The 15,116-nt window shown below is 42.3% G+C and overlaps 1 long non-coding RNA gene across 1 annotated transcript, besides 2 other annotated features; it reads left to right on the top strand.

The window, feature by feature from the left end:
• The first annotated feature begins 20 nt into the window (after window positions 1-20).
• Window positions 21-4,106, top strand: LOC107987176 (uncharacterized). Its single transcript, XR_001749176.1, has 2 exons — window positions 21-482; window positions 3,280-4,106. It is a non-coding gene; the product is annotated as an uncharacterized LOC107987176 (long non-coding RNA).
• Window positions 216-737: an enhancer, noted in NCBI's record as "H3K27ac-H3K4me1 hESC enhancer chr12:128750861-128751382 (GRCh37/hg19 assembly coordinates)". NCBI's record gives its function as "activates a minimal SCP1, AML or CMV promoter by ChIP-STARR-seq in naive H9 embryonic stem cells {active_cell/tissue: H9 hESC(naive)}" and the evidence as "EXISTENCE:reporter gene assay evidence [ECO:0000049][PMID:30033119]".
• Window positions 7,338-7,839: an enhancer, noted in NCBI's record as "OCT4-NANOG hESC enhancer chr12:128743759-128744260 (GRCh37/hg19 assembly coordinates)". NCBI's record gives its function as "activates a minimal SCP1, AML or CMV promoter by ChIP-STARR-seq in naive H9 embryonic stem cells {active_cell/tissue: H9 hESC(naive)}" and the evidence as "EXISTENCE:reporter gene assay evidence [ECO:0000049][PMID:30033119]".

Raw genomic sequence — 15,116 nt, 5'->3', positions numbered from 1 at the left:
GGTAGGAGAGAGTTCGCCTGCCCGCCGGGAGGGGCGGCAGATGGAGAACCCCCCCGCCCGGGCTAGGGAGGGTGTGCCCGGGAAAGAAGACCGGGAGAGGAGGGGGCGTCTCCCCAGGCGGCTGGGACGGCTCCTCCGGGGGTCCGCGCCTTTCCAGAGAAACTCAGCGTTCGCAGACTCCTGCCCGGGTGCCCAACGGACAGCGGCCCGTGGCCCGGAGGGTCCTGCCCAGGGACCCGACGCTCAAGGCGGAGCTGGACTCCTTCTCCCCACCCTCCCGTGGTCACTGCGGGACCTGGTGGTCGTCACGCCCCATTCCTCAACTTCAGGTGGCCGCTGCTTTAGCCTGGAGGGCTGGGGACATCTGGAATGCAAAGTCCCGCGCAGCTGCTGCGGGGAGAGCTCCTAACTGGATCACTGAGCGCGGAAAAGCAGCGCGCAGCGGAGCGTGAAGGCGGGGTGCGGGCTCAAGACAGATGCGGGTGTGCACCTGTGCGTGTGCGGAGGGGGCGAGGCACGAGATCACAGCGGTGTCTCTGGGAAGGGGACGAGAACGCAGAGGGGAAGAAAGGATCATTTTTCACTGCATGTCTGTGGGGCTTCCACTCCCCAATCATCTCCCCGCCGCCCATAGCATGTGTTTTATTATCTTTTCAGTGGGTGGAGAATAGCCCCTCTCTAGACTTGCTCCTGCAATAGGCAATTTCTCTGCAGACTCAGACAAGGAAGATCCGCCCTCCCCCCCCCCCCCCCGACTTCGTTCTCTCTATCTTTTCCCTCTGATTTCTCCAGGGCTGGCCTCCCTCATGGTGGTGATCCCAGGTGATCTCAGCGGCTTCCCTGTGCGGTTCCTGATGCTCATGCTCTGCTCTTTCTGCCACGCGTGGTCTGAGCAGTTTGAGGGCGGGACCCCGACTCCCCCCTTGTGACTGGGAATGAAGGGCCATGGGTTCGGAGGTCTCTGGACGTCCCCTCCTGTCCTGAGCTCCTCACCACGGGCTCAGCATCCCCTCTCACCGTGGGCTGGCTCGGTCCAACATCAAAAGGAAGCCTGAGGGGTCTTTTCTCACCATCAGTGCAGGAAAGAATTTCAAAAGAAAAAAAGAAGTCCTTGATTGAAAGAAAAGAAATGTAAACGAATGATCCCCAGCAACTGCAACCCCAAGTCTTATCTCCCAACTCAGCCCCTAAGGAATGAGCCAGGCATAAGGAGAAATTGGGGCGGGGTGGGGCGAAGGCTTTGCAGGGCACTGGCCAGAGTGGGAGGCTCTCTCCTGGGGTGGGGCCCGGAAGTCTGGGCCAGGCTGGGGGGAGATGTCTCCCTGGTTTTCTTGGCCGGCTCTACTCACATGATGTGAGGAGAAGGCAGCTTGAAAACTATCCAGGCCCCAAAGGGAACGGTAAAAGCTTGATTCTCATAGGCCTGGATAGCAGAGACTTGATTTTTAAAGTGGATTATGCTGATAATCGCCCAATTCTTCAGTACATTCAGCTAGTGTAGACCTGACCTTGGGGGCAGGGGGCAGTTGTAAAGTAGATTTGGGCTCCTAAAACGGAAGGTACGTTTTATTCTCAGTGCTTTGAGCCTGAACATCACCGGGGAATAATTTTTTTTTCATTTAAATGTTCCCAGCATGAGGGAGAAATACACATGTCCCATTGTTTGTAACTGAGGATGGGAATCTGCCTTATCCTCTCTCCTCCCTATTGGATAACAGGGACAAAAAATAAAAACCCAAAGAAGTGCCCTCCACTCCCCTGTTCTATGCAGCCTCATAATGTACCTTCTTTCCACATCATTTCTTTCCTTTTGGCACAGAACATTGCTGTCCCTACTGCAAAGACAAGTCAGGTCCTGGACTACATCTCTGTGATGCAAATAATCAAAACCAGGGGCTACCAAACAAGCCACAGCAAAATAAATACTAATTCAACATGGGGTTGGAGTGGGGAAAGGATTCTCAATCAGATAAGCTCACTGCACAGCACCCCAAAGGCAGCCACTGTCTTCAGGTGATCCTGAATCACAGATGCCCCTTGAGACTATGATGCCTCCGGGCATCCCCTGTGAGAGCCTTCAGGAGACCCAGCAAATGAAAGCTTCTCTGCAAACCTTCCTTTAGGACTCCATTTAATCTATTGCGTGTCCCTCTCAAGAGCAGTCAAACAAACATGCACACAAAACTGAACAAACAAATAAAACAGATGATATAGTCAATTTCTCTTTCATAGGTAAATCCACAAAAATTGAGGTTCATGGGCTAATAAAGTTTTCTGTATTTATTTTTTTTAAGTCATGTATCATTTAACCCCCAAATCATTAATTCCTTAACTTAGATTACTTCCAGATGGTTTTCTGAATTTCATAAGGAACATCAGAGGCTTCTAATCTCCTCAAAGGCTGTTGCAGAATTCCTTAAGGACTGTGGGCACATGGAAGCACTTAACATAATTTATGGGAGAGGAGAATGATTGGAAAGAGGAAACCTGCTGCTTCCACAGGGTTTCAGGGTTCCTAAGTCAATGAGGCAACTTCAGATTGTTTTGTTCATGCTTAAATGTTAAATTGTGAATATCGCATAAAATGAGGGGTGGAACTTGTGATTTTAGTTCAAAGGCTTCTTGCATTGTCTACCTGTAGACGGGACATATGGGTATATATTGCCGAGGACATGGAAAAGAAAGGCTATATGTTGGCCTCATGAAACAGCTATGGTCATCCCGCAAACTGAGTATCAAGTCCTGACTATGGTGCTTACTATTAGCGATTAAAAAATGAGGAAGAAGGAAAAAAGGGAGAAAAATGATAGAAAGGTCTATGCTTAGTTCTGTGTCCTGTCATTGTTCTTAAAACATATAGGCACTATCTGATTTAATCCTCTTCACACTCGTGGGGTGTATTATTATTATCCTTGGACATTTTATTCATTCATTCATTCATTTAACAAATAGGTGTCACTTGCTTACTATTTGTCAGGCCCAAATTTTGGGGTTTTGCCAGTGAACAAAATAGACGAGAGTCCTAAATTCATGGACCTTACATTCTAGTGGAGGATGCAGACTCTAAAGTAATATACAAGTAATTGTATCTGTTAATGCAGTGATATGTGTTGTGAACAAAAATAAAGCAAAATAAGGGAAAAGTCTGATTTGGGGGTGCAACTTTAGGAAGGTGGGTGAAGTGAGAGCAATTTTTGGGAAAAGAGCTTCTCAGGCTGATAAAAATGAAAGTGCAAAGACACTAAGCTGGAGTCCTGAAAGGTCTTATTTTTCTTTCAGAAGGATCACTCTGGCCAATTGTAGACCACAGCCTATAGGAGTAGCCAAGGAAGCCTGAAGTCTAATTAAGAGCTGGTTCAAGGCACCCAGGAGTCTTGGATGCTTGCACTGGAGTAAGAGGAGCAAAGCTGTGAAGTCGAGACAAGGACCAGTTAATGATGCCTAGTGGAAGTGAAGCCAGCAGGATGTGCTGATGGATGGGTGTGGACTGTGGGAGGGAAAGAAGAGGCCACTGTTTTGGCCCAAACAACTGGGTACCTGAGGGTTCTCTTTATGGAGGTGAGGAAGAGAGGGGGTGAGTGACCTTGGTTGGTACATTGGTACAGATGAGGAAACTGAGGCTCATAGAGGAGATTAAGCCACTTGCTGGTATGTGACAGCCCATACATTGAAAATCAGCTCTCTGCACCCCCTGGAAGGAGCCGGGCCAGTTTATGACCACCAACCCTAAGGCAAATTGAGTATTGCATTGGTACGAACCGTAAGCCATATGTCATCCCCTCTTTCATTAACTCCAGGTCTAAGTCTGGCTAAGGTAGAGAGGAGTCAGAGGTGTGGAATGTAGAAATAATACATTCTTCCTCTCTCCGTGTGGATAAAGATTCCAGCCTTTATTCCATCTAATGAAAATATATTTAGGGAACATTTATTGGGGGCCATTCGCTGTCTGCCCTTGTTCCTTTATTTGTTTGCTTGCTCATTCCTCGTTCCATGTCAACTCCATGAGGGGACAATGTCTGACGTGCTCACCCCTGTATTCCTATCCCCTAAAACAAGTGTGTATGTGAAGATAAGTCCTTGTCCAATGAATGAATACTGTAAATCCATAGACTATTAGCCCTACTTTACTAATGAGGAATCTCAGAATCACTCATTTTACCTTTAGTTCATTTAGCTGTTAATAGTGATGATGATGATAATAACAATTAACATTTATTAGGTACTTCCTAATTGCCAAATATCTCATTAACAACCCTATGAACATGTACTCTTGTTATCTCCAGTTCACACATAAGAAAACTGATGTCAAAGAAGTGAAGTGGCTAGTTCAATGCCACTCATCTAGGAAGTGGTTGAGCTGGGATTCAATCTAGACCATCTGACTTCAAAGTCCACATTCGCAACCATTCACTAGACTGATAGGTGTGTGCTCAGGTGTGCCTGTTTCCTACACCAGATGTCTAGGAAACTTGTGTTAGGTCTCACTTGCTAGGTCTCTCTTTGTGTCAGGTTTCACTTGTTGGGCCCTTTTATTTTAAACAAGCACTGAAGAATTGTCCCTTTGTAACTTCCACTTACCATCCCAGACAACCTCTTGAGACCCTTGTGCTTCTCTGGCACTGCTACTTGAACTCAGCCTGTATGGAGCTTAATCGACCCTGAAGAGGACATGGGCCCAGCATCCCTAGATAAGATGCAAGATGCAGGTGACTTTTGGCCTGTGAAAACAACTTTTAAGAGTGATGCTCAAATGCCCATACCTGCTTATCATCCCATTCTCCACGTGGTACCTGTTGGATGCCCAGACTCCTCTCACATTTGTGGTTAAGACCCACAGAGTAGAATCTCTACCCTTCACCCTTCCGCTAGGGTTCAAGGCCAGCAAATGATCAATTTACTATAGGAATTAGGTTAACGAAGCTTCGGATTAGGTTACAAATGGAAGTAATCACACTGGTATTTCCTTAACTGTATTTGCATCATCATCATCATCACCATTATCACCATCATCATCATCACCATCATCATCACCATCACTATCATCATCACTATCACCATTATCACCATCATCATCACCATTATCATCATGATCATCATCATCATTATCACCATCATCATCACCACCACCACCACCATCATCATATCATCATCACCATCACCATCATAATTACCATCACCATCACCATCATCACCATTACTATTATCATCACCATCACCATCACGATCACCATCATCATCATCTCTAACACTTGCAGATTCCTTACTCTGTCCCAGGCACTGTCTTAAGTACTTTGACAGGTGTGGACTCATTTAATCCTCACAACAGTCCTATGACATTACTTTTGTTATTAACCCCACTTACACATGAGAAAATTGAGATACAGAGTTTAGGAGACTTACCCAATGTCACGGAACAACTAATTGGCAGAGCTGGTATTCAAACTCAACTCTCCCACCATAGACTCCTTGCTCTAAATAGACAATTCTCAGACTTTCCTGTGTATACACGTGACCAAGGGAACTTGTTAAAATGCAACTTCTGATTTAGGTGCTAGGGGTGGGGCCTTCTCCTCTGCATTTCTCCCAAGCCTCCAGGTGATCTTGATGTTGTGAGTCAGTGGGCCACTTTTGAGTAACAACTCCTAAATAATTACCCTATTCTGCTCCCTATCTACTTATGCAAAATCATATTATCCAAACTATATTTATTTGAAAATTTCACTGACATTAAACTCTTTCCTGCTTCTCAGCATAAAGCAATCACAAGCATATTCAGTGCATTCTGTCATTCCAGAAGAACCTTGAGACTGGAGAATTCGTCCTGCAGTCAGTTAATAATGGCTATTTAATGCACACTCCTCACCGAACCCAGTATTTGGAGTGGGCAGGTGCAATGACTGGCTTTGGTCTAGTTAGTAGCTGCTCCATCAACTGAGTCCCTAAGTGACGTTAATGGGCACAGACCCCTGCCAACCTGCAGTGGACACAAAAAAAAGGGAATGAGAAGTGAATGTTTGCTGTTGTATGCCTCTGAAAGTTTGGATTATTTGTTACAGCACCTTCACATAATAATCCATCCTCATTGGAACACCCAGGCATTCAAATTCATTGCATGCCCACTCACTCAGCTGCATTCCTGTTCCTTGTGGATGATCAGGTCTTGCAGGAATAAGACCCACTCTGTGTCTATGCATTCTTCAGTTCAATAGTAACTGTTGAGTGAATTACTTATAGGCAGGGTGCCTGCCCTCTGACAGCCCATTAGGCAGGATAATATGCATGCACAAATATCTCAAATCAACATCAGAAAATAGGCACACATTAAATGTTTTAAAGGCCTAGAGAAGATAAAAAATGATTTCACGGCCCACCTGCCCCCACTTATACTAATTATCCTGTTCCCTCTGCTGGCTCTGCCCAGTTCTCTCCCTCCACAGTCCTTGTACTTGCCACTCTCTCTTCCTGAAATACTTTTCCTATCATGTCCCTCTCCTTGCAAATATTATCCCCTCAGCAAAGTCTTTTGTCCCAGGGCCACATCACCAGAAATAAGTACAGAGCCTAGACCATATCCAGCACTCAATAAATATGGCTGAAGAAATTTCATGATGTTTGATCACAGGCATCAGGAACAGTGGGAGATTAATAGTGGAGATGCAAGGAAAGAAAGACAGGTCTTTCTGGCAGAAAGAATGAGACAGTATGCAGGACAGCCCATAAACAAGAATGGAAGTTGTTATAGCCAGTCAGTTCCCATAACCACCAGCCAGAAGATGCAGATTAAACCAGCTCCAACATGTTGGGATTGAATTGGGCTGGGTTCTGCTGTCATATCGATTTCACCCTCTCCACCCCTAAGTCTTTGGATTTATTTTCTCAATTTTGTAGTCCTTATTCACAAGGACCTAAATGTGGAATTGTTAATAGAAAATAATTCAAACTCATCCACGCTACGAAATGCACACAGAATTCAATTCCAATATTAAACTACCTTTAAAAAGCCCCTTCTGGCCGACCATGATCCAAATCCTAAACTATGGGATTACTTGTGATTCACAGCAGATCCAGCCAGGTTCTGGGAAGGAGGACAATGGTGACTTTTATGTGTGATTAGCTGCTTTCAACCACCTTTCTCAGGGCAGACAATCCAGGTAACCAAAGGCACTTCATAGAAAGACCCACTGCATTGCTTTTAACTCTCTTTAAGACTCTCTGATGGCTTGTTAAAAAAGATTGAGCTTCAAATGGAAATCTGCCAAAATTGTGTTGTTTTGACACTTGGAACAATGGAATGCCAATTCCATTAATTTATGTGCGAAATATCTCAGCTCCAGACCCACACGCAGCCTGGGAATGGTTATAGAGTAAACAGCGCTCCCTGGTGGTCCTGACTAGCATTTGTTGCTAGCAGAGAAAAAAGAAAAGCTCAGATTTGGGGGTCTAAGTGGCAAACAAATCAAAAGAGTGTCGCTACATTCAGCAGCATTTCACACTAATGAATGTCTTTGTTCTCAAGAGGCAATAATGGTCACTACTGGCTTCTTTACCTCTGACTTGTAAGTAAAAGTTGTGATACCTCCTGGGGCAGCCCATCTTTGATATGTTCAGCAAATAGTGATGCCTACTTAAAGCTGTGCCCTCGATACAGCTCAGGAGACAGCCGTTTGATCTTTATGGAGCATCCAAGAGATTACAGCTCAGCCCAGCTGGGAGCAGGACCAAGGTTGGTGGAAGGAAGGCGTGAAATTGTTGCCTCCTGCTCACTACAAAAAGCATTAAGCATAAATTGTTTAGGTTGCCATTCTACTTATGGATGGAACTCAAATGGAACTCAATCAAGGTTCAGTGAGGGAAACAGAACCACTAGGAATAGGAATCTATTTTTAGGAATGAGATCTTATATAATTGTGGGAGAAGCTAGAGCTATAAGAGCCAGAAGAGGGAGTCGGAGGATAAGCAGAAATTACTGACCAGCTTCCCTGAGGCTCTGGCATGGGATTCAGGACAAGCTGAGCTTTCAGTCTATTTCAGGGGAACAAATTGGAACTCGCAGGAGATCCAGGGAGGCGGGAGTCTCCAGCTACCAGAGCAGGAAGATGAAAGGGGTACTGTTCAAAAAGTGTTTGAAGGAGTTGAGCTTTCGGCATGACCAAGTCAACGCCTGCTGGATGGATCTTCACGTAGGTAACAATCATAAATTCTGAATAAGATACAAAACAAAAAGAGTAACACAAACACATCAACAACACCGCAAAGACTTCCAGAAGGCCATGAAAAGTGAAGGAAAACAGGAGCTTCTGGAGGTAAGTTGACATTTGGAAGGAGAGGCGTGGAGTGACTTTCCTGTTTTGGTGGCATTTCCCCTAAAAACAGGCCAAAATCATTGCTGCAAGTGACAACTGACACTCCTGTAGAAACTCACTCTTTCTTTTTTTTATTTTTTATTTTTTGAGATGGAGTCTCGCTCTGTTGCCCAAGCTGGAGTGCAGTGATGCAATCTTGGCTTACTGCAACCTCCGTCTCCCAGTTTCAAGCAATTCTTGTGCCGCAGCCTCCTGAGTATCTAGGATTACAGGCGCGCAACACCATGCCCAGCTAATTTTTGTATTTTTAGTAGACACAGGGTTTCGCCATATTGGCCAGGCTGGTCTTGAACTCCTGACCTCAAGCAATCCACCTGCCTTAGCCTCCCAAAGTATTGGTATTACAAGCGTGAGCCTCCGCGCCCTGCCGAAACTCACTCTTTCTAAACTGAAGAACCAGACAGCAAAATCTGTAGCAATCACTGCTACTGGAATGCAGAGGGGGAAATCCAACAAAGGAAAGAGCCAGAAAGAAAGACCCCCAATTGCTTGTATTAACTTTGCCCACATTTTTGGATGACGCATGAACCCCGGGAGCATGGGGAAGATTAAGCAGCATAGCTAAAGATAAAAGGACTGAGCTGATTTAAGCTGAACCCCAAGAGACGTTTTGTAGTGTGAATCCAACCAAGTCATTACTAGCCAAAAAAAAAAAAAAAAAAAAAAAAAATTCAGTTAACACTTTATTGATGAATACAACAAAATAGAGTCTGCATGGAATTCAAAATTTTAAAACAGTCAGAAGTATAACATTTGTCATTTGCAAGGCAGAATCCAAAATTACTTGGCATTCAAAAGCCAGAAGAATGGGCAAAGGACTTAAATAAACATTTCTCAAATGGCCAACTGATTTACGAAAAAACGCTTAGCATTACTAATTATCAGAGAGACACAAATTAAAATGATAGTAAGACGGTCACCTCCCACCTTGTAAGGATGAGACCTTAAAAAGATGGAAGATAACAAGGGTTGGTGAGGATTTGGAGGAAAGAGAACTCTAGCACACTGTGGGAATTTAAGCTGGTGAAGCCGTTATGTAAAACACTATGAAAGTTCCTCGAAAAACATAAAAATAGCCAGCGTGGTGACTCACATCTGTAATCCAATAACTTTCGAAGGCTGAGGTGGGAGGATCGCTTGAGCCCAGGAGTTCGAGACCACCCTGGGCACATAATAAGACCGTGTCTCCACAAAATAATAAAAATTAGAGTAAAAAAATAGCTGGACATGGTGGCATGTGCCCCAGTCACAATGGAGACCGAGGTGGGAGGATCAGTTGAGTCCAGGAGCTTGAGGCTGCAGTGAGCTATGATTTCACTGCTGTACTCCAGCCTGGGTGACACAGCAACACCCTTTTAAAAAAATAGAACTACCGTGTGATCCAGCAATCCCACTACTAGGCATATGTCCAAAGAAAATGAGATAATGTTAATGCATTTATATTGTTTCAGCCACTCAGTTTGTGGTACTTTGTTAAGGCAGCCCCAGCAAACTAATACATCATGTAAAGAGGAAGCGTAGGATGACCAGAATGGCTATATTAATATCAGATAAAATCGACTTCAAAACAAAGAACATAACCAGATATCAAGAAAGACATTTCATAATACTAAAAGCATCAGTTACACAGAAAGACATAAAAATCATAAGTATATATGTAGCTAATAATAAAGACTCAAAACACACCAAGAAAAATTAAACAGAATTAACGAGAAATATGAAAAATACCAAAATAATTGTCAGAGAATTTAAACACCTCATCAGCAATCAGCAATTGAAACAACATTCCTCTCTCCTGCTTCCCCTATCCCGTCTCTTCCCCCCTCCTGTGTCAGTAAAGATACGGATGATCTGAACATTATCAACTACCTTGCCTAATTGATCATTATAAAACACTATACCTGGTAACTTCAGAGTCCACATTATTTTCAAGTGTACATGGCATTTTAATCAATATAGACCATTTGCTGAGCAGAAGAACAAGTTTAAATACATTTAAAAGAATGGAAATTATCTAGGGCATGTTATCTGATCAAAATTGAAATTAAATTAGAAACCAATTACAGTAAGATACCTAAAAAAAAGCCCAGATATTTGGAACTTAAACAATGTCTAACTAATCCATGAACCAAATACAAATTACAGGAAATTAGAAAATATTTTGAAATAAATAATAATAATGCAAAATAAAATTTGCAAAATGTTGCTTAAAAAGTGCTAAAAAGGAAATTTATGGCTTTGTTTACAGTAGAAAAAAAGAAAAATCTAAAATCACTTACCTAATTCTATACTTGAAGAGCCTAGTTGGAAAAAAAACAAAAAAGCAGCGGAAGGAAGAAAATTAAGACAGAGAGGCAGAGGGGAGAGAAAAAGAGTGAGTGAGTAAGTGGAAGAAACAACAGAGAAAATGAGCAAAGTCTAAATTGTTTTCATTTTATTTTTTTAAAAAAATATCGGTGACAATTATAAAACTATCTCAACTGATGAAAAAAGGAGGAAAATATGAATTACCAGTGTCAGGAATGAAAAAGGAGTTACTACTACAGATTTTCTGAACAGTAAAAGAGTATATCATCAAGAACGATAATTCGACAACTTAGATGAAATGGAAATCTTTGTGGAGAAATGAAATTTACCAAAACTGACACTGGAAGAAAAAGAATATCTGAAGAGTTCTACATTTATTGTAAGTCACTAAAATCTATTGTTGCCATGACAAATTACCACAACTTTATTGATTAAAGTAGCACAAATTTACTACCTCACAGTTCTGTAGGCGAGAAGCCTGGTATAGGTTTTACTGAGATCAAACCAAGAGGTCAGCAATGTTCCATTCTGTTCTGTACCAGAGCCTCTAGGAGATAACTCATGTGTTGCTCATTCAAGTGTTAGCAGAATTCAGTCCTACCCAGGTACAGAATGACTGAAGTCTTAATTTCCTTGCTGGTTGTCAGCTGGGAACTGTCCTTGGCTCTTAGAGGCCTCTTTGGGGTTATCGTTCACTGTTCAGTGTCAGTAACAGGAGCTGAATTCTTCCTTCACTGGCACCTCTCTGGCCTGGCTCAGAAATATTCTCAGATTTTAAAGACTCATGTGATTAGATTGGACTCACCTGAATAATTCAAGATAATCTCACATTTCAAGGTCTGTACCCTTAATCAAATCTGCAAAACTCCCTTAGTCCTGTAAAGTAATATAGTTACAGTTTCCAGGAATTTGGCATGAACATCTTTGGGGGAGACATGATTCTGCCTACTGCAAAATCTTTATCAAAAGGCTTCCCAACAAGAAAACTCCAGGCCCAGATGGTTTTATTGGTGAAGTTTATCTACCATCTAAGATAGAAACAACAGCAGACTTGCACAAAATCTTTCAGAAAATGAAGGAAGAATAAAGTTTTTTCAATTCATTTTTATAAGGCCAGCATAATTTTTTCTTATTATTATACTTTAAGTTTTAGGGTACATGTGCACAATGTGCAGGTTAGTTACATATGTATACATGTGCCATGTTGGTGTGCTGCACCCATTAACTCGTCATTTAACATTAGGTATATCTCCTAATGCTATCCCTCCCTCATGCCTGTTAGAATGGCGATCATTAAAAAGTCAGGAAACAACAGGTGCTGGAGAGGATGTGGAGAAATAGGAACACTTTTACACTGTTGGTGGGACTGTAAACTAGTTTAACCATTGTGGAAGTCAGTGTGGCGCGATTCCTCAGGGATCTAGAACTAGAAATGCCATTTGACCCAGCAATCCCATTACTGAGTATATACCTAAAGGATTATAAATCATGCTGCTATAAAGACACATGCACACGTATGTTTTTTGCAGCACTATTCACAATAGCATAATCTTAATATAAAAATCTGACAAAGTCATAACAAAAAAATTACAATCTAATATTTTTCATAAACACAGATAGAAAAACCTTTAACAAAATATTAACAAATCAAATCTGACAAACTCTGTATATTTGTTGGGTTTTTTTTTAAAGCTATGGAAATCTGTCACTGTTCTGTCACCTCTGGTGCAACTTGCTGGTCATAGGAAAAGCAGTCCATAGGAGGGCTAGGAACACAGTAAAGGAGAGAGGAGAGAAGCTAGATGTCTTCTATTTCCTCTCTGATTGCTATAACCTTCAGACAGTAATGAGTACTGCTTCACTCCCACCTTCCAAATCTGTCAATCTGTGAATTCTAGGTCTATGAATTCATGTTTGGCCAACTTTATCCTGGAAACATATGAGGCAGGAGATCCTTGAAAACTTACTTTCTGCTTAACCAAGCAAACACAGCACACATCTCCACAGCCACTGAATAGTCCATTTAAAAATGCCATGACTCAATTAATGGTTAAGGCTTTTCAAAGAGATAGGTAGGGAGTTAAACCTTATTTGTTTCTAATTTAATATATTTTAATTTTAAGTTCCAGGATACCTGTGCAGATTGTGCAGGTTTGTTACATAGGTCAATGTGTGCCATGGTGGTTTACTGCACCTATCAAACCATCACCTAGGTATTAAGCCCTACATGCATTAGCCATTTATCTTGATGCTCTCCCTCTCTCACCCAACAGGCCCCAGTGTGTGTTGTTCCCCTCTCTGTGTCCATGTGTTCTCATTGTTGAGCTCCCACATGATCTTGTTCTTCTTCATGGCTGCATAGTATTCCATGGTGCATATGTAACACATTTTCTTTATCCAGTCTATCATTGATGGGCATTTGAGTTGATTCCATGTCTTTGCTATTTTGAATAGTACTGCAATGAACATACACATGCATGTATAAATGTTATTTTTGAAGAAAGAAGGTAAAAGTTTGATAGATGTTTGAAGTGATGAAATGAGAGTTTGCATCATTCCGTTTTTGCTGAATTCTCAATTGCACTTGAAAGTTAAGATGGAGACCATGGAGGCTCTACAGGTGTCAGCAGCAATTCATCAAAAACACAGAAAATTGAGTATATTAACTACAACACACATACACACACGTACAGAGTAGAATGCAGAAAACACTCAGTGCTGAAGATCACACTCAACCCAGTCTTTGCTTCTACCTTCTTCCCAGGAAATATCTTGCTTGAGCATCTGTTGCTCCCAAATGTCTCACTTTTGGAGATCTCAGTCTGTTCCTGAGAGGTAGCTGGCATTACAAGAAAGGGAACTTCAGCAAAGAAAGTTTTGATTTTGCCACGAATTGTCACATGTTGACTTTGGGAAGGAAAAAGATAGACTTCATTTTTGTTTAATGATGCAAGGAGAAGATGACAACCTCTTTGGGAAATGCCTTGTTTAGCTTGTAGTGAACACAAGGATCATACTCTCTTATAAGAAAACATCTAGAGCTTTAATTCAGAGCTTTCATCACCAGTTAAGAGATTTAACAAGTGGAGTGCAATGCAGAGTTATCACATAGGGCATACAGAAATTTGGGGCTTTGGTTGAAAAGAACTGGAGGTGATTGCAGGATGGTAATGAGAGTCAGGGAACTGCTTCAGTGATACACTCAACACTATTTCCAGAAGAGCAAAGGGCAATAGTTTGAATTAGAAGTGTTACACAACATTTTAGCATCATCATATTAACTTCAGCACGGCCAAAGATGCCTTCGTCTATCTCTATTCTTATAAATTCAAGATACTTGACCACCCTGTGGCTGTTTTCTAATCTTTAAAATGGGTGTAATAAAAATACATATATTCTAAGTTTGATGTGAGTATCAAATCCATCAGAATGTTCTTGGTGACAGGAAACTGGGCCCAAAGTGTCTTCACCAGTGACGTTTGTTGATATACTATAAGACTAAATGTCCATGAACAGGACTGCCTACAACGGAGGCCTGATCCTAGACTCATACGAGGTCCATCTATTGCTTTCCTTTTGGATTCATTTTCAACTCTGTGTGTTGGGTCTGGGGAAATTTAGGCTCATCAACTCATCTAGTCTAGCAGAAGGAAAGAAAGCTTACTCAATGGCTTAAGTATAAGTCCTAAGATTGAGTCAAGATTTTGCCCATGAATGGACTGCCTTGGAACCTGGGCCAGGTGGAAGGATTGGGCTGACTGGTTTAGCTTAAATTGCATGACGCACTCTGGATCCTGGAGGTTGAGTTAGCTCCACAAAGCTCTGTGGCTGAGATTAGAGGTAGAATGTTTTTTTCTAAAGAGTTCTGTTGACCCAAGAAACAGAATGGACATTGAGTAGCGAACACCACAAGTATCCACTATGGCCAAGTAGTCCCAACCCTGCTTTTACCAGCCATGTCAAGTAAAGCATCAATTTTCAGCCCATGTTTTTCATACAGGCAACTTCCCAACTCCAAGTGCAGTGTCAGAATCCATTAACTATTTTCAGGGTCTCTAGCAATTAAAATGATGTGTCACAGGGGTGAGCTCAGACCATCTTCTATGAGACCTTGGTGGTGTTATTTGTTTTAGGTCAATTACAATAAAGAGTATGCTGACACTGTTTGATTCCTTCCACTTCCATTCCACCCTCCTCCTGGTTGGTGAGATTGGGAAGCTAAAACTCTATTCCCTAGACTCTCCTGCAGCCAGGGTTCTGGAGAAGGTGGCCCTGCTGATTAGATATCCTTGCTCAAGGTGAGGAAGGGGGAATAGGGGAGTTCTTCTCTTTCTCCTACTGATGAGTGTGTGGAAGCTTGAGATTTCTCTGTATTGCTGTCCATCTTCCCATTCTCCAGCTTCCCGGCAAAATTATAATAGTTGCCACTATAATTCATATAATAAA

This window comes from Homo sapiens, chromosome 12 (genome assembly GCF_000001405.40).
Source record: "Homo sapiens chromosome 12, GRCh38.p14 Primary Assembly".
Classification (NCBI taxonomy): Eukaryota; Metazoa; Chordata; class Mammalia; order Primates; family Hominidae; genus Homo; species Homo sapiens.
Note: the sequence above shows the minus strand (reverse complement) of the source record. Positions and strands in the feature narration are given on the sequence as shown.